The sequence below is a fragment of the Homo sapiens genome, chromosome 3, assembly GCF_000001405.40.
Source record: "Homo sapiens chromosome 3, GRCh38.p14 Primary Assembly".
In the NCBI taxonomy this organism is placed as follows: domain Eukaryota; kingdom Metazoa; phylum Chordata; class Mammalia; order Primates; family Hominidae; genus Homo; species Homo sapiens.
In genome coordinates this window covers 107,304,910-107,331,084 of record NC_000003.12, presented here as the reverse complement: position 1 = coordinate 107,331,084, position 26,175 = coordinate 107,304,910, and the positions used below count along the sequence as shown (strand labels likewise).

The window sequence follows — 26,175 nt, the reverse complement described above, 5'->3', positions numbered from 1 at the left end:
TCTTCAGATGAAAAGCACTGCGGAAATAAGGTGTCATTACAGTTCATTTGACTATGCCTTAGCAAACAAATTTTTTAAAGTTATGGAATCAAAACATGTAGCTCACCCTTCCTGTCATATTATCCCTTAAAACATGCAGAAAATCTCTAAATTATTAGTGAACTTGAATAACAATGTATAAAATTATGATCCCAAAAATGAAAACACAATATTGTATCCCTTAAATAGTGAACTGATAATTAAATAATATGTATGTATTTATTTATTTATTTATTTTTGAGACAGAGTCTAGCTCTGTCCCCCAGGCTGGAGTGCAGTGGCACAATCTCGGCTTACTGCAACCTCCGCCCCCTGGGTTCAAGCAATTTTTGTGCCTCAGCCTCCCAAGTAGCTGGGATTGCAGGCATGTGCCACCATGCCCAGCTAATTTTTAAAAATATTTTTAGTAGAGACGGGGTTTCACCATGTTGGCCAGGCTAGTCTCGAACTCCTGACCTGAAGTGATCCACCTGCCTCACCCTCCCAAAGTGCTGGGATTATAGGCGTGAGCCACCACACCTGGCCTAAATAATATTTTACAGAGAGGAAAAGGTGAAAGTTGTTTGGACAAATTAATATTTAAAGAAAAGACTTCTCAACATAGAATATGTAAAGCTAAAATGATATCTCATCTTAAATATTGTCATCACGTTCCTTATTTTCCTCTCCAAGAAAAAAGAACCAGAAGTTTATTTGTTCTGAGGATTCAGGAATGAATTTTCATATCATGTGGTTTAGCTTGATGATTTTTTTCGGAGAGACAGACTACCTGGAATGATGTGATTTTTCTCAATTCATTCCTGTTTTTCCTTCTGTGTTCATGTATTTTCATTCATCACAAATATTATGGAATGAACCCACATCAAAGGACCTTGACCATAAAATGTTAAGAATACAAGAAAACCAATGAAAAACCTTAACACCATTCAAAGACCTTTGTCTCTTACAGGCACTGATGACATGTAGTAACACAAAAGAATGTGGTCACCCTTCTGGAATAGTGAGTGAGTCCAGTAAACTTGTGTTTGATTCAGGTCATGTGTTGTTTGGCTGGGCTATTCAACACTACTGTAAACTCGGAAATGGATTTTCCAAACACATTTATTTTCTTTTAGATTGTTTACAAAATCTGAGTAATTTTGAAACTTAAAATGTATATTTCTTACTATAAAAGCAACATGTGTTCACTGTACAAAAGCTAGACAACAGGAGAAAAAACATATTTTGTATTCTGTGTTTAACATTTTTGTTTAAATCCTAATCTGTCCAAAAACATTCGCATCTTTTCCTTTCTATAAACATTATTTAACTCTTGTGAATAAACACAATATTTTTTATTATTGAGGTCATCATTTTGCATATTCTATTTAAAATTTGCTGACATAAGAAACAAGAAACAAATAAGAACATACAAATAAACAAATCCCCACCTGTAACCCTGTCATTAGGTATAATCACTGTTAATTTGTTGGATGTCTATTTTTCCAGAATTTTCTCAATTTGCAAATCATTGTCAGAAGCAATAGGTCTTAAATTGATTTATTTGTAATCCAAAAATGCATTGGCTCTGTGCATTCTGAAGGTATACGTTGTTCTGTCTTCTACTCCACACACTGCTAAGAACTATTGGAAAGTCAGTCTTAATAAGTTCATAGTTGGCAGTGCACAGGGCCTTGCTGAGAACCCCTGGCTGGGCACCTGCTGCGGGTTCATCTATGTGTTTCCTCAGCTGCCTCCTTTCAACCTTGTCCACCCATTGCGGCCTCTGGTGCCGCAGTGGTGGTTCCTGTTTCTGCCACAGCTCTCTCCCCTTCTTCCCTCTCCACCAGATCGCAGAGTTCACTCACCATGGTTTTACCCAAGTGGCTGCCAGGCTCTTGGGAAGCAACAGTGCATCTTGTCTTGTTCTTGCTGCCTGGCATGCCAGTGCTTCCTCCAAGAATTTGAAAGACATATTGGCTGACCTGATAGTTAAGGAGCAGGCCAGAATTAAGACCTTCAGGCAGCAACATGGCAAGAAGGTGGTGGGCCAAATCACTGCAGACATAATGTATGGCGGCATGAGAGGCATTAAGGGATTGGTATATAAACATCAGTTCTTGATCCTGATGAGGTTATCTGTTTCCGAGGCTTCAGTATCCCTGAATACCAAAAACTGCTACCCAAGACTAAGGGTGGGGAAAACCCCTACCCAGGGGCTTATTTTGGCTGCTGGTAACTGGACAGATCCCAAGAGAGGAACAGGTATCTTGGCTTTTAAGAGAGTGGGCAAAGAGGGCAGGCAGCTCTACCTTCCCATGTGGTCACCATGCTGGACAACTTTCCCACCAATCCACACCCATGTCTGAGCCCACTGCAGCCATGGCAGCCCTAAACAACTTTGCCCGAGCATATCCAGAGGGTGCCAGTCAAACCAAGTACTGGGAGTTGATTTATGAAGACCATGTGTGTCTAATCACAAAGCTACCTTGTATTGCAGAAAAGGTCTACCAAAATCTCTGTGGAGAGGGCAGTGGTATTGGGGTCACTGACTCTAAGCTGGACTGGTCCCACAGTTTCACCAACATGTTAGGCTATACTGATGCTCAGTTCACTGAGCTCATGCACCTGTAGCTCACCATCCACAGTGACCATGAGCACAGCAATATAAGTGCTCATGCCAGGCATTTGGCAGGCAGTACCCTTTCAGACCCTTCCCTGCCCTTTGCAGCAGCCATGAATGGGCTGGCAGTTCCTCTACATGGACTGGCAAATCAGGAAGTGCTTGTCTGGCTAACACAACTACAGAAGGAAGTTGGCAAAGATGTGTCAGATGAGAAGTTACAAGACTACACTGAACTCGAGATGGGTTGTTCCAGGCTATGGCCATGCAGTACTAAAGAAGACTGAGCCACAATGTACCTGTCAGCGAGAGTTTGCTCTGAAACATTGCATAATGATCCCATGTTTAAGTTGGTTGCTCAGCTATACAAGATTGTGCCCAATATCCTCTGACAGTAGGGTAAGGCCGAGAATCCTGGGCCCAATGTAGACGCACATGGTGGGTACTATAGCATGACAGAGATACATTGCTACGCGGTCCTGTTTGGGGCATCACAGGCATTGGGTGTACTGGCACAGCTCATCTGGAGCCGAGCCCGAGGCTTCCCTCTAGAAAGACCCACGTCCATGAGCACAGGTGGTCTGATGAAGTTTGTGGACTCTAAGTCAGGGTAAAACTGGAGACTGGGGGAAACTGACTATCAGAAAGTGAGGAGGCCTTAAAAAAATGTATATTTTTGTTTCAGGGGGCCTTTTAAAGACTTAAGATTAAATTGTATCTGAGGCACTGATAATCTGTTTGAGGTTAAAATATTAATTAAGACTTTAAAAAATGAAAAATGAGCCCTTCTTCCCTAACCAGCTCCCTTCCCCTGCCCAGTGTTAGTTGCCCATCAACTGTAGGATGACCAGAACTAATGCATGTGCTGTGGGTTAGGTTTGGTCCCTCTCTATCTTTAGAGTGAGAATGTGGCTCCTCTTTCTCTGGGTCAAAGCCAGTTGCAGAGAATCTGCAGTCACTTTGGAGCTTTCGCTTCTTCTCTGCCAAACCTCAACAAGCCAGCTAACCAAGACTCTGCCGCTTCTGTTTCCATAGGAATCACGTTGGATAGTCAGTGGTACCAAGCCCCTTGGCACTCTGTCATGCACACGAACACCTCCTAGCAAGACCTTTTGATTAGCCAGACAGGCATGCTTTGGCAAATTTTTTATGATACCAAGTGACCATAAAGGCATGGCATTTGTGGTGACTGGCACCCAATGTTAGATTCTATTTCAATTTTTTAAACTATCCAATTAAAATTAAGGCTTGGGAGTGTTCTGTTTCCCATTACTTTAATATTTACCTCCTCCCAGACTTTCCACACCTACTGCATCTCAAGCTGAGGATGTTCCAGACCTCCCACTCTTGGTCCCTACTAGTGACCTCTCAACAGATCTGTGGTCCCAGTCATTGGGTTTTATCAGTGCTTAATATGAACTAAGGTGTTTTACTTCCACAGAACACAAGCCACTACCCTCTGACCTTCCCTTGCCCTTCTAATATGTTGTAGGGCATAGAACAGGGACTCAGGAATGACCAGCACGGTATTTTCAGAGTATTTTCATGGTATTTTCAGAGTCTGGTCCCTGGGGTATTAGCACCTCTTTTTGAACAGGGAATTGATTCAAGATTGGACATGATCTCCTCTGATTATCATGTCCTGGGGCTGAGGGGATTAAAAATAGTAAGCCTCCCTCCTCATCTGCCGCCTCAAGAAAATGCCCCCTTAATTATCAACATCCTTTTCCTGCCCCTTCCCCGAGAGCTCACAGTACAATGTTTGTTTTAGAGGCCCCATTTGCACAGGTTTTCAGCAACTTGGAATGCTCTGCTGCCTTTGAGGTGGGCTTGAGATACACTCCTGCTGTGCCCCCTTCTTCCCTCCAAACTCCTGCCTGTGTTTGTGCGGATCCTCAATCCCAGAACCACGGTGTTCAGTTGGACACACATAAACCCCTGGGTAACCATCAAGTCATGATGCAGACTTCAGGCGGTTCTGTATAAAATGCAAAATAAACGTTTTTATTAACAACAACAAAAAATTCATAGTTAAGTGGAGGAATCAGACAAGCATATCACTGTTGTCATTGACACCATATGCTGTAGGGGACTGAGGAGTGGCACCTACTGAGCCTAGAGGAATCTGAGGAGCCTTCACAGGGCAAGTGATGTTAGAGTCTTGAATAAGGAATAGAGTGTTCATCATTCAGGCGAGGCAGGGGAGGCCTTTCCAAGGAATGTGCAGGGCTGGGAGAGAATGTAAAGTAGGCAGCCCTGAGTAGGTTAATATGGTGTATGATAGTGAAAAATAAATCTTGAAAGACAGAGACCCGACTGACCATGCAAAGACTTAATGTCCAGATAAGAAGCCTGGGCTTCAACTGGTAGGTCATAGGAACCTATTTGAGGAATGTCTGTGTGTGGGGGTGGAGTGGGGGCTTCTATAAGAAATACACAAGTAATCTTTGGATAGTGCCTTCGGTTTAGTTTCTGAAGACATAGCCCAAAATGAGGATTGAATGAGCAAAAAAGGCTGAGTGTAGTTGTGGACACAACAGGACACGTGCTTCTGTCTCACCCATGAGGAAGCTCTGGAGCACAAATTGCACCACAGGGTTAATACCATTCCAAGGCATGGGGTTACCCTTTAACCCCTGGGTCGATTAGTCCTTGTCCCAGGGTTTGGTGGGAAGGGAAAGAGGTAGAGCTTCCTGTGCTAGCATCGGCCGAGAGCAATTCTCAGGAGAAGGGGGCATCCATCAGTACTCACAGTTCCCATCACAGCATGAGTGCAGAAGCAGGTAAAGAGGAACTGAGCAGAGCACCAGCGATGCATCCGTTGCAGAGAGCTTTAACTAAACAGCACAAGTGTATTCTCGATGAACATTTCTGGCTCTTCCTCTGAAAGTTTGAAACTCTGGTACGTCTACATCTATCAGATGAGGAGAGTCTTGTGGTGTTGACAACCAACTAATCATCCCACATTGACAGAGTGAGTCTTCCCTCTCTGAGGTAGTGTGCTCTTCTGGGTCATAAGGGAGAATTTTCTATCTACAGGGAGTAACTTAGGGTTGGGGAAATCATATTTCAATGTGTAAAAACATTAAGTAACAGTAGAAAAGTTAAAGATTTCCATGAGGCAGCAGTACAGCGGCTCTCAAAGAAATAGAAGGCAATTGTCACATGAATGGCTGTGACTTCATTTGGACTAGAGTCACTTCTTTGCTCTTTTGAAACACTTTCTCTCTGATACTTTCAAGATACTTGAGAAGTGACATCAGCTTCACTGCCATTAGCTTACCTGAAGTGTATACACAACATGGGCATGGAAGCAATGCTGCCTGTCTCTCAATATGATATGTGCATTCATTCATTCATTCATTCAGTCAGTCAGTCAGTCAGTCAACAAATACTATGTGGTATGCAGTGCCTTGGGTAAGAGAAATATCACAAAGAACAGTGCAATATCCCTGAGGTTGGGAAGCTTACATTTTAGATTTGGAGAGGCATACAGGCTATATATAAGTAATTAAGTAAGAATGAATGTCAGCTTGTGATAGGTATAAGGTAAAAAATAAAACAGGTGATCTGGGCATGTGAGTGAGTGGTTCATGCCTGTGATCCCAGCACTTTCGGAGGCTGAGGTGGGAGGATTGCCTGAGCTCAGGAGTTTGAGACCAGCCTGGGCAACATAGTGAGACCCTGCCTCAACAACAACAACAAACCTAGCCAGGTGTGGTGGTACATGCCTATAGTCCCAGCTACTTGGGAAGCTGAGGTGGGAGGATTGTTTGAGCCCAGGAGTTTGAGACTGCAGCGAGCCATGATCACACCACTGTACTCCAGCCTGGGTGACAGTGAGACCCTGTCATAAATAAATAAATAAATAAATAAAGCAGGATAAAGTGGGTAGAAAGCACCAGTGTCAAGGGGTTGATGTTGATTTCTATTTTATTTAGAATAATCTGAGAAGGCCTCACTTATAATTTGGCTTGAAGAAAACACGAGAGCAAGTCATGCAATGTTCAAGTAAGAGTGCAGCAGTCAGAAGAAAAAGCTATGCAAGGGCCCTAAGGTTGAAAGTGTTCTTAGTGTCTTTGAGAAACATCAAGGAATGTGCAAAAGGCAGAATGATAGAAGATGAGATCAGAGAGGTGAGGGGTGGGGAGGGGTGTCACATGTGTCCCTGGAGGTCATTGTAGGGCTTTTGCCTTTCATTCTGAATGAAGTAGGAAGCCTTTGTAGTGTCTTGAACAGAGACGTGATATGATCTGGTTTATGATTTAAAAGGCCTAGTTGGGTGCATTCAGGACTGGCTACAGTTTGAAGGACCTGGTGAGAAATGAAAGTGTGAGGCTATTTGTTCAAAAATTATCAAGAAATTCAAGATGGCAACAGCACAGCATTAAACCGAGCACTGGGTCTTTGTGAGTGAGGGACTCTGTGTGACTGCATGGGTCACATGCCCATGATGCTGGCCCTGGATGCATTGAGTATAGGCTGCCAGGAGTGAAGGGCAGAGGCAGTGAGACCTATAAAAAGTCAATGCAAATATCCAGTGGTGGGTGAAAGTATAGACATAGCAGCGGAAGTGGTGAGGAGGAGGCACACACTGTGGTTGTTGTTTTTATATATTTTTTGAAGGTAGAGCTGATGGCATTTGCTAATGGATTGGTTGAAATTTATTGAGATAAAAAAGAGGAGGAGCAGGTCTTTAGTGTAAATCAGAAGTTCATGGTTGGACTTTAATAAATGTGAAGTCATTTGAAAGCAAGTGGGAGGATGACATTTAAACAGTTGGATGTATGATTCTGGAATTGAGGAAAGAGATCCAGATTGTAGATCCAAATTTGGGAGTCTCATCTCCATAAAGAAAGCATTTAAGATCACAAAAGCAGATAAGATGGGGCAGATAGGAGAAAAATGGGGAAAGAAGAAAAGAGAAGGTAGGGAACAGATATATAAAGAGAAGAACAAAGTTAGAGGATAAGACACTCTACTTAGAGATCAGAGACATTGGGAGGAACAAACAAAAGAGAACTAGAACTGTGAATGAGGAGGGATGATCCAGAGGCCACGTGAGAAAAATGTGTCCAGAAGAAAGTGTTAATCATGTCATGTGGCCCAGCAGTTGAGGACTGAGGATCAACCATTGAATTTAGCTTCATAAAGGTTGTATGTGTTCTTGGTAGGAACTGCTTTGGTTTAACAGTGAAAATAAAAACTTCTCTGAAGTGCAAACAATTTAGAATGAAGGGAGAGGTAATGAAAGATAAAAAACACATACAACTCTCAAAGAGTTTTGAAGAAAGGGAAACAGACGAATGAGTGGTGACTGGAGGGAAAAATGGGGTCATGTCATCATTTTTTGTTTTGTTTTTGAATTGTGAGAAATAAAAATGTTATTATTTAGAGGGAATTATGTAGTATAGAAGGAAAATTTGATGATGGAGAAACAAAAGGGACAATTGCTAGAGTGATGTCCTGAATAATAGAGAAAGGATGGGGTACAGGGCCCAAGGGAAGTAGATGGCTTTGCATAGAAGCACAGACAGTTCGTTTATATTAATGGGGTTGTGGGGAGAGAGCAGGGTTTTGGGTCCAGATGTAGGAAGGAGGCAGATGTTATGTTGGGAGGGTATAGGAATTCTATTCGGATTAATTCTCATTTCCACTTAATTCTCATTTACAGGGGAAGTAAATTCAACAACAGAAATTGAGGATGAGGAACATGGTGTTGCAGTTCAAACCAGTTCCAGCCAAAATGGACTCTAGTCACAAACAAATAGTAATAACAATCCAAACTTGTGGCTGAATAGAGTTCTGAAGTTTTGAGAAAGAGGTAAAGATATGAAATAGTTGTCTAGGAGCAGGCAAAAAAATGGCTTAGAGAAATTACAATTGCTACTTAGCACTAAGGGGCCACTTGAGATTAGAGGTGATACATGAAGAGTGAGATTTGAACTGAGTTTTAAAGAATGTTAAGAACTTGGATGGAGCAACAAGGGAGAGAACTTTAGACAAAGATGATCTGTAGACCCAAGGCCTGACATTCTCATCATTATTGTTTGCCTTAGTCTGTGTATCCTCTAAAAGCCCAAGGCGAGCATTTATTTGGAAGGGGATTTCAGGGAACACAAGTGAGGAAGTGAGTGAAAGAGAGGTGGGGTAATGAAGAAAGCCAGTAAAGGCTTTGTTAAGCTGGCCACCACTGTGTTCAAATGGAGCTCATTCTCACTGGGGATTCTCTGAGAAAATTGAACCATGCCTCAGAATTATTCCACCAGTAGGGAGGGAGAGGCGGAGGCATTCATCCACCAGCTATCCCATACCCCTTCCATGGGTTGAGGGGTGTATCCCCAATATTTTAGTTTGTTCATGCTTGTGGCCAGCAGCTCTTGAGGCACAAGAGAAAGCCTGCAGAAAGAAAGCTTCAGCATGGGAAAAACTGTCTTGATTGCTCTGTCACTTCACCAAAGCAATTTCTCCCTCAATCTTCCCCAGTTCAGTAAATGGCACCACAATGTAGTCAGTAGCAGGAGCCAAAACTTAGCAGTCATTTATTCAACCTTTACATTTATTGAGTACTTATACCATGCCTAGCACTCATTCAGGTGCTGGGTGCTAGCGAGCCCTATATGCTGAACTCCTAGAACTCCTAGAACTCCTATAACATCCCAAATCAGTCCTCTTCTCTCCAAATCCTCTTTTATATCTATAATTTGCAACGAGGATGGCCATTTAAAATTGTTGCTAAAATGAGACGAAGGGGCTGAGTCTTTGTAACCCTTGTTGAGCCACTACCATGCTCCATTCACATGTCTTTTCCCCGTATGTTTTTGTCTCTGATCTTCCAGACCCCTGTCCAACTAGTCAAATCATTCACCTTGCATATGAGTTTCTGTATATTCCTGGCTTAAGCCACTTCTCCTTCTACACCCTATGTAGATGACCAAGTGCACTGTTTAAAGCTATCCCCAGTGGGAGGATTTTTCTCTCACTTCTGTCTTTCAAGGCACTGTGGGTTGAAATATGTCCCCTCAATGACATGTTGAAATCCTTACCCTTGGTACCTAAGAATGTGATCTTATTTGGAAATAGGGCCTTTGCAGATATAATTATTAATATGAGTTCATACTGGATAACAGTAGCCGTAATTCCAGTGTCAAAGCTTCTTATAAATAGAAATTTTAGAGACACAGACAAAGGGAAATAAGGCCATGTGGTGGAGGCAGAGATTGGAGTTATGCAGCCACAAGCCAAAGAAGGCCAAGAATTGCCAACAACTACCGGAAGCTAGAAGTGACAAGGAAGCATTCTTCCCTAGAGCCCTTGGAGAGATCGTGGCCCTGCAACATCTTAAAGTTAGGACTTCCAGCTTCCAGAAATGTGAGAGAATAAATTTCTGTTGTTTTAAGCCCCTTGGCTCATGATGTTTATTATGGAAACCCTAGGGAACTAACACCCTGGCTCACCCTTGAGTGGACTCTGGTATAGCAGCAGTCCATTTTCAGCTTGCATGCACTTACGACACCTCCATCAGTGAAGCAATGCTGTTTTTCCCCTTTATTGTTGGTCATAAGGGATCACCTCCACTTATGAGGTGGCACAGGTGTGAACTGGGAAAGTGTTGTTAATGCAATAGTGGTAAATGATGTGGAAATCTGGGCAGTACACTGGTACAGTGTATTTTTTAATGCCCTCTGGCCTTGCTCACAACTGATTATAACTGATCCTATTCTCACCCCACAATGAACTGCAGCTGTGCCACCTTATCTCATGATGTGACGAATCTGACAGGATGCACCTCATGATGGTCAGCTCTCACCCACGGTCACTTGATGTCCTATGGTCAGAAGCCTTTTCACTACCAGGGTTCAGTAGCCCTAGTAAACCAGGAAACACCAACATGTTTCTCAAATGGTGTATACTTGTTTGCTGCAGATGGCATGGTCTTGCTGCAAACTCTAGGAGCTCTATGTTATGATTCTTCTACCGTGGCTTCCCTAAACTCCACATGTTATCTTTTCACGGCACAGATACCTTTAGTAACCTAGACTCTGCTGGATCATATGGCCCAAGACGCCAGTCTGATTGCACAGCAGTCGACCTGCTGCAGATGCTTTCCCACTGTAAGTCACACTCAAAGCTGGGAGCCTTCCTCTTTGCCTGGTGAATGGGTTAGAGCTGTATTTCCAACTGTGGCAAATGCTGCTCCAGAACCCAGAGACACCTAGCAAGCTCTCTGCTTCCTTCCTAGTGCTGGAAGTGGTGAGATGCAGTAATGTGTCCTTTGCTTTTAAATGGATGTTCTTGTGCACTTCAAACTTTACTCCTTAGATTCTTCCTCCTCAGACTTGGCCCCTAAAATCTTTACTGTCGTGGTTGGGTCATTATGGCAGATATTTGCTGTGATCCTACTTAATAGGGACCCAACTTATCTTTCAATCAATAGGCTTCAGGTCTAAGAATTAGCTCAGGTCTGGAAACAAGGGAAAGGATTGTGAGTTTTTTTTGGAGTGACTGACCCCATTTTTCTGCTAATGCACTCTTGATCATCTTTGATTATATATATATGTCAATAATTATATATAGCAATGTCTTGTTGGTTGCTCATTTATCCTGCACCTTTAAATACCATGTTTTTTATGGCATCTCCATAGAGCCCTGCAAATCAGGCCCTCTTGGCTGTCCTTCCAACTTTGCTATTCATTTCAACAACTATTCCCACCTTGCTCCTGTCATTGAAATGCTACCATCTAGACCCTGTTATTTCATGATTATATCATCTCCATTGACACTCAGGGCCGGGTTTTCTAATAGCATCTCCTGCCCTTAGCCATGACTCAAGGAGAAGAACCATAACTGAGCTTTTCAATGATGCTGATGCCCTTCTCACCAGCACATTTCTCATTTCTTTGGTAAATGGAGTGTTCTCTGGGTCCTCCCATAGAACAGAGTTGGCTGTTGAGTTGTTAGGCCTTGAGAAGTATATTCACTCTTGCGTGCTGTCTTCTCTGAGCCTTTTGATTTCTTTCTCCACTGTCCTCCCCAAAAGATCTGGCATTTATACTGCATGTAGTGTGGGCCGTTGATTTCCTCCAGCTTCCAAGAGCTATCCTAGCAGATATTAGTAGCATCTCCTTTGGTCTTTGTGAGGGTGTTAAATTCTGTATTGTAGGAAGGTACTCCTGTATTAAAAAAACTCGCTTGTTCATTTTTATGTTTCATCCCTTAAACCAGCTATCACATTCCTGTTCTATATATACTCTCCTGGCTCTTGCCAGTTCATGCTGGGTAACCCTTTACACTTACAGTGTACAGTTCCTTTCCCTTCCCTAGTAGACCCAGATCATTTCCAGGTTATCCTAAGATTTGACCCTAACTAGGGGTCTAGTGGCTAGGAGGTAGGTGAGGGTAGACCCTGAGGGTGCGATGTGTTGTTCTTCAAGAATAGATCATTGCATCAGATACAAGCTAGAGGGGCAGGCTAGCCTTTAACAGGGAGGAGTGAGACACGTTTGCTGGCCCATAGGGTTTAGCTATATTTGGGTATACAGGTTTTCAAATGTTATTGACCCAGATGTCCCCATCCTAATCCAAGGGTCCCACTTTTTAAATGAAGCCTTTTTACTAATGTTTCAGAGCTGCTGGGGTTAACAGTTCAACCTTCTCTGAGGCTCCACTACACTTATAATTAAATTCTTGCACTGACCTTAGCTTTTTTCACATTTTAACAGGTGATTCAGCTCAAAAGTTTTGTTTAGAATCTACTTCCTAGTACCCACCAGCTTAGGCTGAGTTTCCCAGAATCAGATCTGTGTTGGAGATTTGTGTGTATGATGTTTATTGGGGAGCTTCCCCAGAAACAACACCTTTAAGTACAGGAAACAATTGAACAGGGACAAAAATCCTACAGTGATAAAATTATAACAGAAGTCGTAGGTAATCCTTTGGGGCTCTCTGGAGCTAAAACAGCTTTTCCAAATTGTCTATAAATTGATGCAAGAGGAACACATCTTCATACTTCACGTTAAACAGTCACTGGGCACAGGCTACCCTAGGAGAAAGCTTGTAAACTTGGATGAAGTAGGTTCCTTTGACAGAAAGCAATTCCAGAAGAGAGATGTACCTATGAGATAACAGTAGCCAGCACTCCCAGAAGCTCACAAGTGACTGCCTTTGTCCTGACAGAGGTATCTGAACAGTGCACTATGCCATCCACTACAACCCATTTCTACGTTTATCTGTTTATTTTAAGACAATAATTAGAATAAGCTCCAAGAGAACAGAGACCTTGTCTATCTCATACATTGATATCCCCAGAATTTACAACAGCTCAGTATTTACTCAATAAGTATTTGTTGACTAAGTGATTGAACTGAATGAGTAATTAAAGTATATTTATAGGTGCCACATTTTGTAAACTATCACTTGGCATATCACAGAGAATACTAATAAATGAAAACACAGATTGGGAAGCATCTCATAATACTTCTTTATTCTCATATTAAAGTATAAATCTCTAACATAAGATTTTTTAGATCCTCAGTACAGCACAGCTACTCTGTGAAAACGTGGCCAGACTACTGTTTTGAGCAGGTCCCTGATCCCATTCCTCCTGACTGGGCGGGACCTCCCGACTAGGGTCTCCAGCCACCTTCTACAGGTGCCTTGGGGTGGACAACAGGTCCATACCTCCCCGGCACAGGGCTTTCGGAGGGAGGGGCAGGCCACCATCTTTGCTGTTTTGCACCCTCCACTGTTGATACCTTCAGGCACTGGAAAATCCAAGGTGACTAGGGACTAAAGCAAACCCCCAGTAGCAGACCTACGGAAAAGTGGCCAGACTGTTACATGGGGGCCTGTTCCCATGTCTCCTCACTGTGCAGGTCCTCCAGGCCTGGACCTCTACCCACACCCTGCTGGGGCTATTAAGCCAGTAGCAGCTCTGCAACTGCCTCGACAGACCTCACAGTGGCGGGGGACAAGGGAGTGTTGCCATCTTCACTGTCTTGCAGCCCTTGCCCTTGCTGTCTCCAGGCTCGGGAGAGTCTGTGGGGACCGGGGACTTGTCTGGACCCCCAACAAAGAGCAATCCCCTTACAGAAAAGTGGCCAGACTATTCTCCACGCAGTTCCTGGTCCTCACTTCTCCTCATTAGGCAGGGCCGCCTGACGTGGGACTCCAGCACAACCACCCAACCCTTGCCTGATCACCACAATCAAAGACAGCCCAGCATTTCTTCAAGGAGGAAATCACAGAGTCAACCCACAACCCCTCCACCACTACAGGTGCAGTGGCTCAGCCTTTACAGCCTTTGGACTGGGAAGGAACAAAGGGCCTAGTCATTACACTGGCACCTCCAGCACACCGCAGCCGCCATATGGAGGGAAGTCCAGACCCCTCTTCCCTGGGAACCACCACCCTCACTCTTCACCAGGCAGGGGCCCTGGCTCATGAATGCAGAACAGTTGCTCCGCCCACAGCTGAACATGCCCACTGGTAGTAGCCCAGAGTTTCCCCAGGGAGAGCCTCCCAGAGGCATACAACAGCCCCTCTGCCACTGCCACAGTAACAATTCTATCCCTCCTGCCCTTGGCCTGGGGAAGAAACAAAGAGCCTGAGGAGTACACGTGAACTTACAGTACCCCACAGCTACCATATGGAAAGGACACCAACCTCTCCTCCCTGTAAGACTTCAACCCCCTGCTCCCCAACAAGCAGAATTCCAAGCTCACAGCAGCAGTGCAGCCACCCTACCCCACTGGCTGAACACCTCCCAATAATAGTGGCTCTGAGTTTCTCAGAGGTGGAGCCCCCAGGGGCAACCAAAAGCCTCTCTGCCACTGCCTCTGCAGTGGAACTGCCCTTGCCACCCTCAGACTAACAAAGGAGCAAAGACCCTAAGTGCTTTATCCACACCTCCAACAAACCAAACTGCTGTCAACCCAAGGAGAGAAGGCCAGCGCATCTCCCATGGGTCCCACACACCCCCCTCCACCCTACTTGTCACCAGACAGGGAACCCCAGCTTGGACCCACAGCACAGACCCTCCATCCTGGGATGATTACACTGAGTGATTGCCGAACTGCATCCCTCTGGGGTGGAGCCTCCAGGAGACAAGCAAAAGACCCTTGACCACAGTGACTACTAAGGTTCCTTCCTGTACTGCCTCCAAGTTGGGGAAGGAAAATAAACCCTGAGATTGCCCCAGAGCTATGGTGGGCAGCCCAAAAGTGCGAAGCCTCAATCTACAGCCAGCATTCAAGTGGTAGAGGAGCCCACACTTTCAGAGCATTGAGAGGGAGCATGGCTGCAACTGTGAGGAAATATAGAGGAGCCACGTGACCAAGCAAGAGCCTACCAAGTGACCAATACGCCTAAGCACCACCTACTGAATCACACCCCAAAGCTTCAACACCAAAAATACCTTGCTAACATACCCTCTTGTGAAACCAGACACAAGAAGTCTGCTGCAAATAAAGACCCTGCATAAAGCCTTGGCCCTGTGAAAACATCCAGCAAGAAGTTTATTGACTGTACTCAATCTATACTGCAGTTAAAGGAACACTCACACCCAGAGATGAGAAAGAACCAACACAAGAACTCCAGTAACTCAAATGGCCAGAGTGTCATATGTCCTCCAAACTCCAAAGTTGGAGAACTGCACCAGTTCTCCAACAAGGGTTCTTAACCAGGCTGAGCTGGCTCAAGTGACAGAAAGAATTCAGAATATGAATAGGAATGAAGATAATCGAGATTCAGGAGAATGAAAAAACCCAACTCAAAGAAATTAAGAATCACAATAAAATTATACAGGAACTGAAAGATGAAATAGCTGGTATGAAAAGGAACCTAATGGTTCTGATGGAGCTGAATAACACAATACAGGATTTTCACAATGCAATCACAAGTATTAACAGCAGAATAAACCAAGCTGAGGAAAGAATCTCAGAACCTGAAGGCTGGCTCTCTGAAATAAGAGAGTCAGACAAAAATAAAGAAAAAGTAATGAAAAGAAATGAGCAAAACCTCTGAGAAGTATGGGATTATGTAAAGAGGCCAAATCTATGAATCATTCGCCTCCCTGAAGGGGATAAGGAGAAAGCAACCAACTTGGGAAACATATTTCAGGATATTGTCCGTGAAAACTTTCCCAACCTTGCTAGAGAAGCTGGAGAAGTGAAAGTCAGGAAATACAGAGAACCTCTGCAAGATTCTACATAAGAAGATCATCCCCAAGACACGTAGTCATCAGATTTTCCGAGGCTGAAATGAAAGAAAGAATGTTAAAGGCAGCTAGAGAGAAAGGGCAGGTCACCTACAAAGTGAACCCCTTCAGGCTAAAAGTGGGCCTCTCAGCTGAAACCCTACAAGCCAGAAAAGATGAGAGGCCTATATTCAATATTCTTAAAGACAAAAAACGTTCAACCATGAATTTCATATCCAGCCAGACTCAGCTTCCTAAGTGAAAGAGAAATAAGATCCTTTTCAGATAAGCAAATGTTGAGGGAGTTCATTATCACTAGGCTTCCCTTATAAGAGATCTTGAAAGGAGCACTAAATATAGAAAGAAAAGACTGCTATCAGCTAATACAAAAGTACACTTAAATACACAGACCAGTGACACTATATAGCAACCACACAAACAAGCCAGCATAATAACCAGCTAACAACGCAATGACAGGATAAAATCCACACGTATAAATACTAACCTTGAATATAAGTGAGCTAAATGCCCCACTTAAAAGGCACAAAGTGGAAAGCTGGATATAAAAGCAAGACCCAGTGGTGTGCTGTCTTTAAGAGACCCATCCCACATGTGATGACAAGCGTAGACTCAAAAGAAAGGGACGGAGGAAAATCTACCAAGCAACTGGAAATCAGAAAAAAAGCAGAGGTTGCAATCCTAATTTCAGACAAAACAGACTTTAAACCAACAAAAATCAAAAAAGATGAAGAAGGACATTACATAATGGTTAAGAGTTCAATTCAACAAGAAGACCTAATGGTTTTAAATATATATGCACCCAACATGAGAGCACCCAGATTCATAAAGCTAGTTTTTAGAGACCTACAAAGAAACAGACTCCCACACAATAATGGGAGATTTTAACACTCCATTGAAAATGCTGGACAGGTCATCAAGGCAGGAAATTAACAAAGATATTCAGGACCTAAACTCAACATTGGACCAAATGGATCTGATAGACCTCTACAGAACTCTTCACCTCTACCCCCAACAGAAACAGATATACATTCTTCTCATTACCGCATGGCACATAATCTAAAATCAACCATATAATTGGATATAAAACAATCCTCAGCAAATGCAAAAGAAGTGAAATCATACCAAACACATTCTTGGTCCACAGCACAATAAAAATAGAAGTCAAAACTAAAAAAATCACTCAAAACCATGCAATTACATGGAAATCAAACATGTTCCTGAATGACTTTTGAATAAATAATAAAATTAAGGCAGAAATCAGGAAGTTCTTGGAAACGAATGAGAACAAAGATAAAACGTACCAGAATCTCTGGAACACAGCCAAGGTAGTGTTAAAAGAGAAATTCACAGCACTAAACCTCTATGTCAAAAAGTTAGAAAGATCTCAAATTAACAACCTGACTTCACAACTGAAAGAATTAGAAAAGCACCCAGCACTTTGGGAGGCTGAGGCAGGCGGATCATGAGGTCAAGAGATAGAGACCATTCTGGACAACATGGTGAAAACCCATCTCTACTAAAAATACAAAAATTAGCTGGGTGTGGTGGCATGCACCTGTAGTCCCAGCTACTCAGGAGGCTGAGGCAGGAGAATCACTTGAACCTGGGACACGGAGGTTGCAGTGAGCCAAGATTGCACCACTGCACACCAGCCTGGCAACAGAGCGAGACTCCATCTAAAAAAAAAAAAAAGAAAGAAAAAAAGAGAAAGAATTAGAGAAGCAGAACAAATCAACCCCAAAACTAGCAGAAGATGAGAAATAACAAAATTCAGAGCTGAACCAAAGGAAATTGAGACATGAAAAACCATTCAAAAGATCAATGAATCCATGAGTTTTTAATTAATAAAATAGGCCACTAGCTAGACTAATTAAAAAGAAAAGATCCAAATAAACACAATTAGAAATGATAAAGGGAATATGTCTATTGACCCCACAGAAATAAAAACAACCATCAGAAACTGCTATGAACACGTCTAGAAGAGATGGATAAATTCCTGGACACATACACCCTCCCAAAACTGAACTAGGAATAAATTGACTCCCTGAACAGACCAACAATGAGCTACAGAATTGAATCAGTATAAATAGCCTACCAACCAAAAAAGCCCAGGACCAAATGAATTCACAGCTAAATTCTACCAGATGTACAAAGAAGAGCTGGTACCATTCCTGTTGAAACTATTGCAAAAACTTGAGGAGGAAGGACTCCTCCCCATTTCATTCTATGAGGCCAGCATCATCCTGATACCAAAACCTGTCAGAGACACAACAAAAAAAAGAAAACTTCAGGCCAATATCCTTGATGAACAGTGGTGCAAAAATCCTCAACAAAATACTTGCAAACCAAATCCAGCAGCACATCAAAAAGCTAATCTGCCACAATCCAGTAAGCTTCATCTCTGGGATGCAGGGTTGGTTCAAGATACACAAATCAATAAATGTGATTCACATAAACAGAACTAAAGACAAAAACTACATGATTATCTCAATAGATGCAGAAAAGGCTTTTAATATAATTCAACATCCTTCATGTTAAAATTCTCAATAAAGTAGGTATTGAAGGAATACATCTCAAAATCATAAGAGCCATCTCTATGAAAAATTCACAGCCAACATCATACTGAATGGACAAAAGCTGGAAGCATTCTCCTCAAAAATCAGCACAGACAAGGATGCCCTTTCTTACCACTCCTATTCAACAAAGTGTTGGAAGTCCTGGCCAAAGAATCAGTCAAGAGAAAGAAATAAAGGGCATCCAAATAGGAAGAGAGGAAGTCAAACTACTGTCCCTGTTTACAGATTACATGATCCTGTATCTAGAAAACCCCGTAGTCTTGGCCCCAAAGCTCCTTCAGCTGATAAACAACTTCAGCAAAATTTTAGCGTGCAAAATCAATGTGCAAAAATCATCAGCATTCCTATACACCAACAACAGCCAAGCTGAGAGCCAAATCAGAAAGGCAATCCCATTCACAATTGCCACAAAAACAATAAAATACCTAGGAATACAGCTAACCAGGGAGGTGAAAGATCTCTACAAGGAGAATTACAAAACACTGCTCAAAGAAATCAGAGAAGTCACAAACAAATGTAAACACATCCCATGCTCATGGATAGGAAGAATCAATATCATTAAAATGATCATACAGCCCAAAGCAATTTATAGATTCAATGCTATTCCTATCAAACTACCAATGACATTCTTTTCGAAACTAGAAAAACACTATTTTAAAATTTATATGGAACCAAAAAAGAGCCCAAATAGCCAAAGCAATCCTAAGCAAGAAGAACAAAGCTGGAGGCATCACATTACCCAACTTCAAACTATACTACAGGGCTACAGTAACCAAAATAGCATGGTTCTGGTACAAAAACAGACACATAGACCAATGGAACAGAATAGAGAGCCCAGGAATAAGGATGAACATCTACAACCATCAGATCTTTGACGACGCTGACAAAAATAAGCAATGGGAAAAAGACTCTCTATTCAATAAATGGTGCTGGGATAACTGGCTAGCCATATGAAGAAGATCGAAACTGAACCCCTTTCTTAAACCCTTTACACAAATCAATTCAAGATGGATTAAAGACTTAAATGTAAAACCCAAAACTATAAAAACCCTGGAAGACAACCTAGGCAATACTATCCCGGACAAGGGAATGGGCAAAGATTTCATGATGAAGACACCAAAAGCTATCAAAACAGAAGCAAAAATTGACAAATGGGATCTAATTAAACTTAAGAGCTTCTGCACAGTGAAAGAAACTATCGACAGAGTAAACAGACAACCTACAGAATGGGAGAAAATGTTTGCAAACTATGCATCTGATAAAGGTCTAATATCCAGCATCTATAAGGAACTTAAATTTACAAGAAACAAACAAACAACCCCATTATAAAGTGGGCAAAGGACATATACAGACATTTTTCCAAAGAAGACATACATGTGGCCAATAGATATATGAAAAAAAGCTCAATATCGGTGATTATTAGAGAAATGCAAATCAAAACCACAATGAGATACCATCTCACACCAGTCAGAATGACTATTACTAAAAGTCAAAAAATAACAGATGTTGGCAAGGTTGCCAAGAAAAGGGAACACTTATACACTGTTGGTGAAAGTGTAAATTAGTTCAACCATTATGGAAAGCAGCCTGGAGATTCCTCAAAGAGCTAAAAGCAGAACTACCATTTGACCCAGCAATTCCATTACCGGGTATATACCCAGAGGAATATGAATCTTTCTACCATAAAGTTACATGCACATGAATGTTCATTGCAGCACTGTTTACAATAGCAAAGACATGGAATCAACCTAAATGCCCATCAATGACAGACTGGATAAAGAAAATGTGGTATATATACACATATATTTCTAAGCAGCCATTAAAAGCAACGAGATCATGTCCTTTGTGGGAATATGGATGGAGCTGGAGGCCATTATCCTTAGCAAACTAATGCAAGAACAGAAGAACAAATACCATGTGATCTCACTTATAAGTGGGAGCTAAATGATGAGAGCTCATGGACACAAAGAAATGAACAGCAGATACTGGGGCCTACGTGAGGGTGGAGGGTGGGAGGAGGGAGAGAATCAGGAAAAACAATTATTGGGAACTAGGCTTAATACCTGGGTGTTGAAATAATATGAACAACAAACCCCCATGACATGAATGTACTTATATAACAAACGTGCACAAGTACCGTCAAACCTAAAATAAAAGTTAAAATAAGATTTTTTAGTTTTCTGAAGTTGCAACCGCTTCTAACGCACTAAGAAAACTGACAAACGGCATGGGCTATATACTCATTTTAACCACTACCTTCTACTCTGATGCAGAATCTTAATTAACTGACTTGGCCGTTACCGGTATTAAAGAATATTAAACGAGGTATTATAATTAAATCAGCCCTTATAGTTAGATTGACTTACACAGGTAAATTTGGTTTTGCACCTACGTTGCACTAATACCCACTTTCAGCTGCCTCCCAACAGATGTCTGCTTTTGATTTTAAACATAGGTTTTCAAACATTTTTATGAGACTATAAACACATAGAATCTTCTGAGACATTTTTCTCTAACCACATTCTATTGAATATTAGCCCTCTCCCTTATGTTGTGAGAAAAAAATTAAGTCTGAAATGTCATTTTGTCCTTTCCTTAAGTATTTCCTATTGCAAAATGTCATAAAAACTCAACATTAGTAAAACATTGTTCCTAATTTTAACAACTACCATGTGTGAGTTCAAGTTTACAATTGAAAACGAATGACCACACTTCTTAAGATGAACAAATATCAGGAATGGCGGTAGTGAAGAGTTTTGTGGACCTGCTCCCCAACAAAACAAGCATAACTAGTAACAATTATTTTTTAAAAAACCTCAACCATTTCAAGTCTCTGGAACTTGTTATAAGGGCACACAGCAGATGAAGAAATACTTATTTAAGAAAATCTACTAAAGTCAGGTAAGAATAGCAAGACTTTGTGGTACTTGATCCATGACTCTCTCTTCAGTGCAACTTGATTGAAATTCCATTCCAGGTAGGGGTAGCCAATATAATGGATGCCTTTCCTAAACTCATAGCCAAGGATACAGCATTTCACAGGGAGGCACAGGCTTTTAGCCTCTGTCATACTCCAACTCTGAGTGGCAGAAGCTAAATCCCTGGTGAGTGTGGTTGTGGTCGTGGTGCCCTGCATTTACCCAGTTGCAATTCATAGGAAGGAGCCTCTACCCAGACATGGCAGGCTAAGAGTACTGGGGCCCTGGTAACTTTTGCCACAGCTCACTACTGGAGTGGAAGAGCCATGCCAGGAGAAGCAATCTGGGAAGACCAGAGGCTACTGCTCCTGCTCAGTACTCAGACCAGTCTGCTCAGAGATTTTTTTTTTCCCCAGGTGGGGAGGCAATCTATAGGAACAGAGAGCTCCAAAACTCTCCCCACAGGGACTGATTTTATTTGAAACCGAGTATGGTAAAGTTCAAGCCTAAGGGTACTCTCAAAAACAATGGAGATGTTGGCGGAAAGCAGTTAAGAGGAGGTTGGTACATCTATGGGAGTAACAACCAAAACCACAGGCCAGCTAATTTAACAGAGACAGCTGGCAAGAGACAGTTAAGAGGAGCTCTCCAGGGGAACAAATCTCAAAAACTGTCCTCCAAAATATTCTATCCCTGAAAAGTGGTCCAAATTCAATTAGATCAGACTGTGGAACAATTTATGCCCAAGGGCATTGCCAAAAACAAGAGATCAATCAGCCAGCAGTCAATACAGCAATCAGCAAGCAGTTAGTGGAGCCTAACAGCTCAGTGTGATACCAAAGGAGGCAGACAGCTTAACAGAGAGATCGGGACAGTCAAAGAAAGTTTCACTGAAATCACTGTCAAATCAGGGTGACTGCGTGCATGCCCAAAGCTATGCCCTCTGAAAAGCAACATCAGAGGTTTCACACTGTAGGGGAAATAGACTTCACTAAAATTATCTATCTAAGCCATTAAAAAAATAAACAAGCAGGCAACAAGAAAAACAAGCTCCAGAGCGGGGAGAGGGGAACCAGTATCCAGTTTCTGCAATATATTGCCCAAATGTCCAGTTTTCAACAACAAGAAAGAATGAGACATGATAAGAAACAGGGAAATGTGACCCATACAAAGGAAGAAAAAGCAGACGAGAGAAACTGCCTGTGACCCAAGACAATAATACGGATCCATGTGACAAAACAACACTGGTAAAGGTAACGAAGCAATTATAAAATACAGTATACACGCATTTCTTTTATCTGATTTAAATGCAATTATGTAAAAATATACATACAAATTGTATTGTTGGACCTATAACACATAGAAATGCAATATATTTGCCAATAACAGCATAAAGAAGGTGGGTGAGAGCAAAGATGTATTGGAGTAAAGAAGAGACACCAGATGGTAACTTGAATGCGCAGGAACAAGTGAAGAGAACCAGAAATGATAAATAAGATCAATATAACAAATTGTATAAATAAATATATACTTGCTTTTTTTTTCTCAGCCTCTTTCATGGACAGAAAAGTATATAAAATAATAATTATAACAAAATAGTAACAGGTTTGAAACATATTGTAATATAACAACAATAGCTCAATAACGAGGAAGTGAGAGTGGGCCTATATAGGAATAATATTTCTATATTTCACTGGAATTTAATTTGTTTAGGCTGGGCACAGTGGCTCACGCCTGTAATCCCAACACCTTGGGAGGCCAACGCGGGCAGATCACCTGAGGTCGGGGATTCAAGACCAGCCTGGCCAGCATGGCAAAACCCTGTCTCTACTAAAAATACATAAATTAGCTGGGCGTGGTGGTGGGTACGTTATCCCAGCTACTCGGGAGGCTGAGACAGGAGAATCGCTTGAACCCAGGAGGTGTAGGTTGCAGTGAGCTGAGATTGTGCCACTGCACTCCAGCCTGGGTGACAGAATGAGACTCTGTCTCAAGATAATAATAATAATAAATAAAGAAAATAAATTTGTATAACTCTAAACTTGATTCTGATAACTTATATGTTTATGGTAAGCCCTAGAAGAACCACTAAGAAAGTAAGTGGGGAAAAAAGCGAGAAAAAAAATTAAATGTGAAGACTGAGGCAGAGATTGGAGTGATAAAGGTACAAGCCAACGAATGCCAAGAATTGTGGTGTTGGGGCTCAGAAAACAATACCCTAAAATGAAGGCCTCAGAAGCAAAAGTTTTTCTCTGACCTTCTGCCCTCCTGTTTCTCAGTCCAATTCTCCCCTGAGGTTAACCATAGAAACTAGAATCCCTCTTCCCCAAAACCATAAAACCTAAAAAGAGTACTCTCACTTTCCCTCTGCCTTTTGGTGTCAAAAGTGGCCATAAAGAAATTTTTATCTGCCTTATTTGACTGTGGGTCATAATACCCCTATGCCAGAGAGAGCCTTGCCCCACACCCAGAAGGTAAGGATGCATGCTCAGAGAGGCCGAGAGGAATCTAGACAGACAGGCCTTGTTGGCTTCCCCGGTTTGGTCTATTAGCATTGGATCGCACCCTTCTTTTCCAATCACATTTCTACACGGCTGTCCGTACTTTGTTGAACTTAAGCATAAAAATGGACAATTTCCCCTGTTCTTTAAGTCTTCATTCTGGAGGCTCCTATGTATACACGTTAAATAAATTTGTATGCCTTTTCTCCAATTAATCTGACTTTGGTGAGCTGATTTTTCAGAGAAACTTTAGAGGGCCAAGGGGAGCTTCTCCCTTGAGAGAGGAGAAAAGATTCTGGCCGGGTGTGGTGGCTCACGCCTGTAATCCCAGTACTTTGGGAGGCTGAGGCAGGCGGATCACTAGGTCAAGAGATCGAGACCATCCTGGCCAACATGGCGAAACCTGTCTCTACTAAAAATACAACAATTAGCTGGGCGTGGTGGTGAACGCCTGTAGTCCTAGCTACTCGGGAGGCTGAGGCAGGCAGGAGAATCGCTTGAACTCGGGAGGCGGAGGTTGCAGTGAGCCGAGATCACACCACTGAATCCAGCCTGGCAACAGAGCGAGACTCCATCTCAAAAAAAAAAAAAAAAAGGAGGGAAGATTCTTCCCTAGAGCCTTCAGAGCGAGCACAGGCCTGCTGGCACCTTGATTTGGGGCTTCTAGCGTCCCAAAATATGAGAATGCATTTTTGTTTTATTTATTTTCATTATTTATTTTATTTTATTTTATTTTATTTTATTTTATTTTATTTTATTTTATTGAGTCAGGGTCTCACTATGACCCAGGCTGGAGTATGGTGACACATTCACAGCTTACTGCAGCCTCGACCTCCCAAGCTCAGGTGGTCCTCCCACCTCAGCCTGCTGAGTAGATAGAACTATAGGCACCTGTCACCACACTTGGCTAATTTTTGTATTTTTTGTGGAGGCGGGATTTCGCCAGGTTGCCCAGGCTAGTCTCAAACTCCTTACTTCAAGCGATACGCCTGCCTCAGCCTCCCAAAGTCCTGGGATTATGGGTGTGAGCCACTGCGCCCGGCCATCTTTGTTGTTTTAAGCCATTCGGTTTGTGGTAATTTGTTACAGCAGCCCCAAGGAAACTAATAATACAGACATCTAAAACAGTTCTTGAGTATTTTGGGAAATGGGTGTTGGTATTATTTCTTAACACTTAGAAAGTGAAGAAAAGTCTCAGAAAAACTTACCCATGATTATGAGTCCTGCCCTCCCCGCCATTCATATATTGAAATTCTAACCTTCAATACCTCAAAATGTGACCTTATCTAGATACAGGGTTGTTGCGAATGTAATTAGTTAAGATGAGGTCATACTGGACTAGGATGGGTCCCCAATCTAATCTGATGGGTTTCTTTATGAAAAGTGGACATTTGGACACAGACACACAGGGGAATCCCATGTGAACACGAGTTGTGCCGGCACAAGCCAAGCACCCACCACACGCTAGGAGTCCTGGCACAAACACTCCCGTCCCTCCCCTGGGGCCATCAGAGGGAGCAAGGCCCTGCCAACACCTCGATCTCGAGCTTCTAGCTCCAGAACTGTGAGACTGTAAATTTCTGTTATTTAAGCCACTCTGAGTATTTTGTTATGGCAGCTCTGGAAAACTGTAACACTCTTTATGCCATTTCCAAGTAATAACAACCGTTAATTTTTTGGTTTCTCTCCTTTCAGTTTCATATCTATAGAGACCAAAGTTTACTTATACACATACATACATATATGTAATCTCCATCTAAATATTAGAGGCAGGTTCCTCTTAAGAACATTGTCCATGGCCGGGCAAGGTAGCTCACGCCTGTAATCCCCAGCACTTTGGGAGGCCGAGGTGGGCAGATCACTTGAGGTGAGGAGATCAAGACCAGCCTGGCCAACATGGTGAAACCCCATCTCTGCTAAAAATACACAAATTAGCCTGGTGTGGTGGGAGGCACCTGTAATCTCAGCTACTCGGGAAGCTGAGGCAGGAGAATTGCTTGAACCCAGGAGGAGGAGGTTGCAGTGAGCCAAGATCACGCCACTGCACTCCAGCCTTGATGACAGAGTGAGACTCTGTCTCAAAAAAAAAAAAAGAACATTGTCTAAAATTTGGAAATAAAGCAGAAAGATAACTGTGTGACCTTTCAAACTCATACCGAAGACTAGGTAACAAGCTGGTCTGAGACGTCTATCACACTAAGCAAAAGTAATTTGTTTGATTTACTATTTACTTTTGGTTACGGCCCAGATTCTATAAAGTACAGTCAACTTGGAGAAAATGGATAAATTGCAAATTACCTTTTTTTTTTTTTGGTGGTGATTC

At 42.3% G+C, this 26,175-nt stretch overlaps 1 long non-coding RNA gene and 1 pseudogene across 1 annotated transcript in view, besides 2 other annotated features; one reads left to right on the top strand and one right to left on the bottom strand.

The window, feature by feature from the left end:
* Positions 1,765–3,452, top strand: CSP2 (CS pseudogene 2; annotated as a pseudogene).
* Positions 3,453–4,120: 668 nt separating this feature from the next.
* Positions 4,121–26,175, bottom strand: part of DUBR (DPPA2 upstream binding RNA) — an 86,273-nt gene continuing 64,218 nt past the window's right edge. Inside the window, exons 3-4 of the long non-coding RNA NR_028302.1 lie at positions 5,394–5,478; positions 4,121–4,619 (exon numbers count right to left, since the gene is read on the bottom strand). This is a non-coding gene — a long non-coding RNA (DPPA2 upstream binding RNA). The remainder of the gene's footprint in view (positions 4,620–5,393; positions 5,479–26,175) is intronic.
* Positions 14,490–14,990: an enhancer, noted in NCBI's record as "H3K27ac hESC enhancer chr3:107034942-107035442 (GRCh37/hg19 assembly coordinates)". NCBI's record gives its function as "activates a minimal SCP1, AML or CMV promoter by ChIP-STARR-seq in primed H9 embryonic stem cells {active_cell/tissue: H9 hESC(primed)}" and the evidence as "EXISTENCE:reporter gene assay evidence [ECO:0000049][PMID:30033119]".
* Positions 21,614–22,542: an enhancer, noted in NCBI's record as "OCT4-NANOG hESC enhancer chr3:107027390-107028318 (GRCh37/hg19 assembly coordinates)". NCBI's record gives its function as "activates a minimal SCP1, AML or CMV promoter by ChIP-STARR-seq in naive H9 embryonic stem cells {active_cell/tissue: H9 hESC(naive)}" and the evidence as "EXISTENCE:reporter gene assay evidence [ECO:0000049][PMID:30033119]".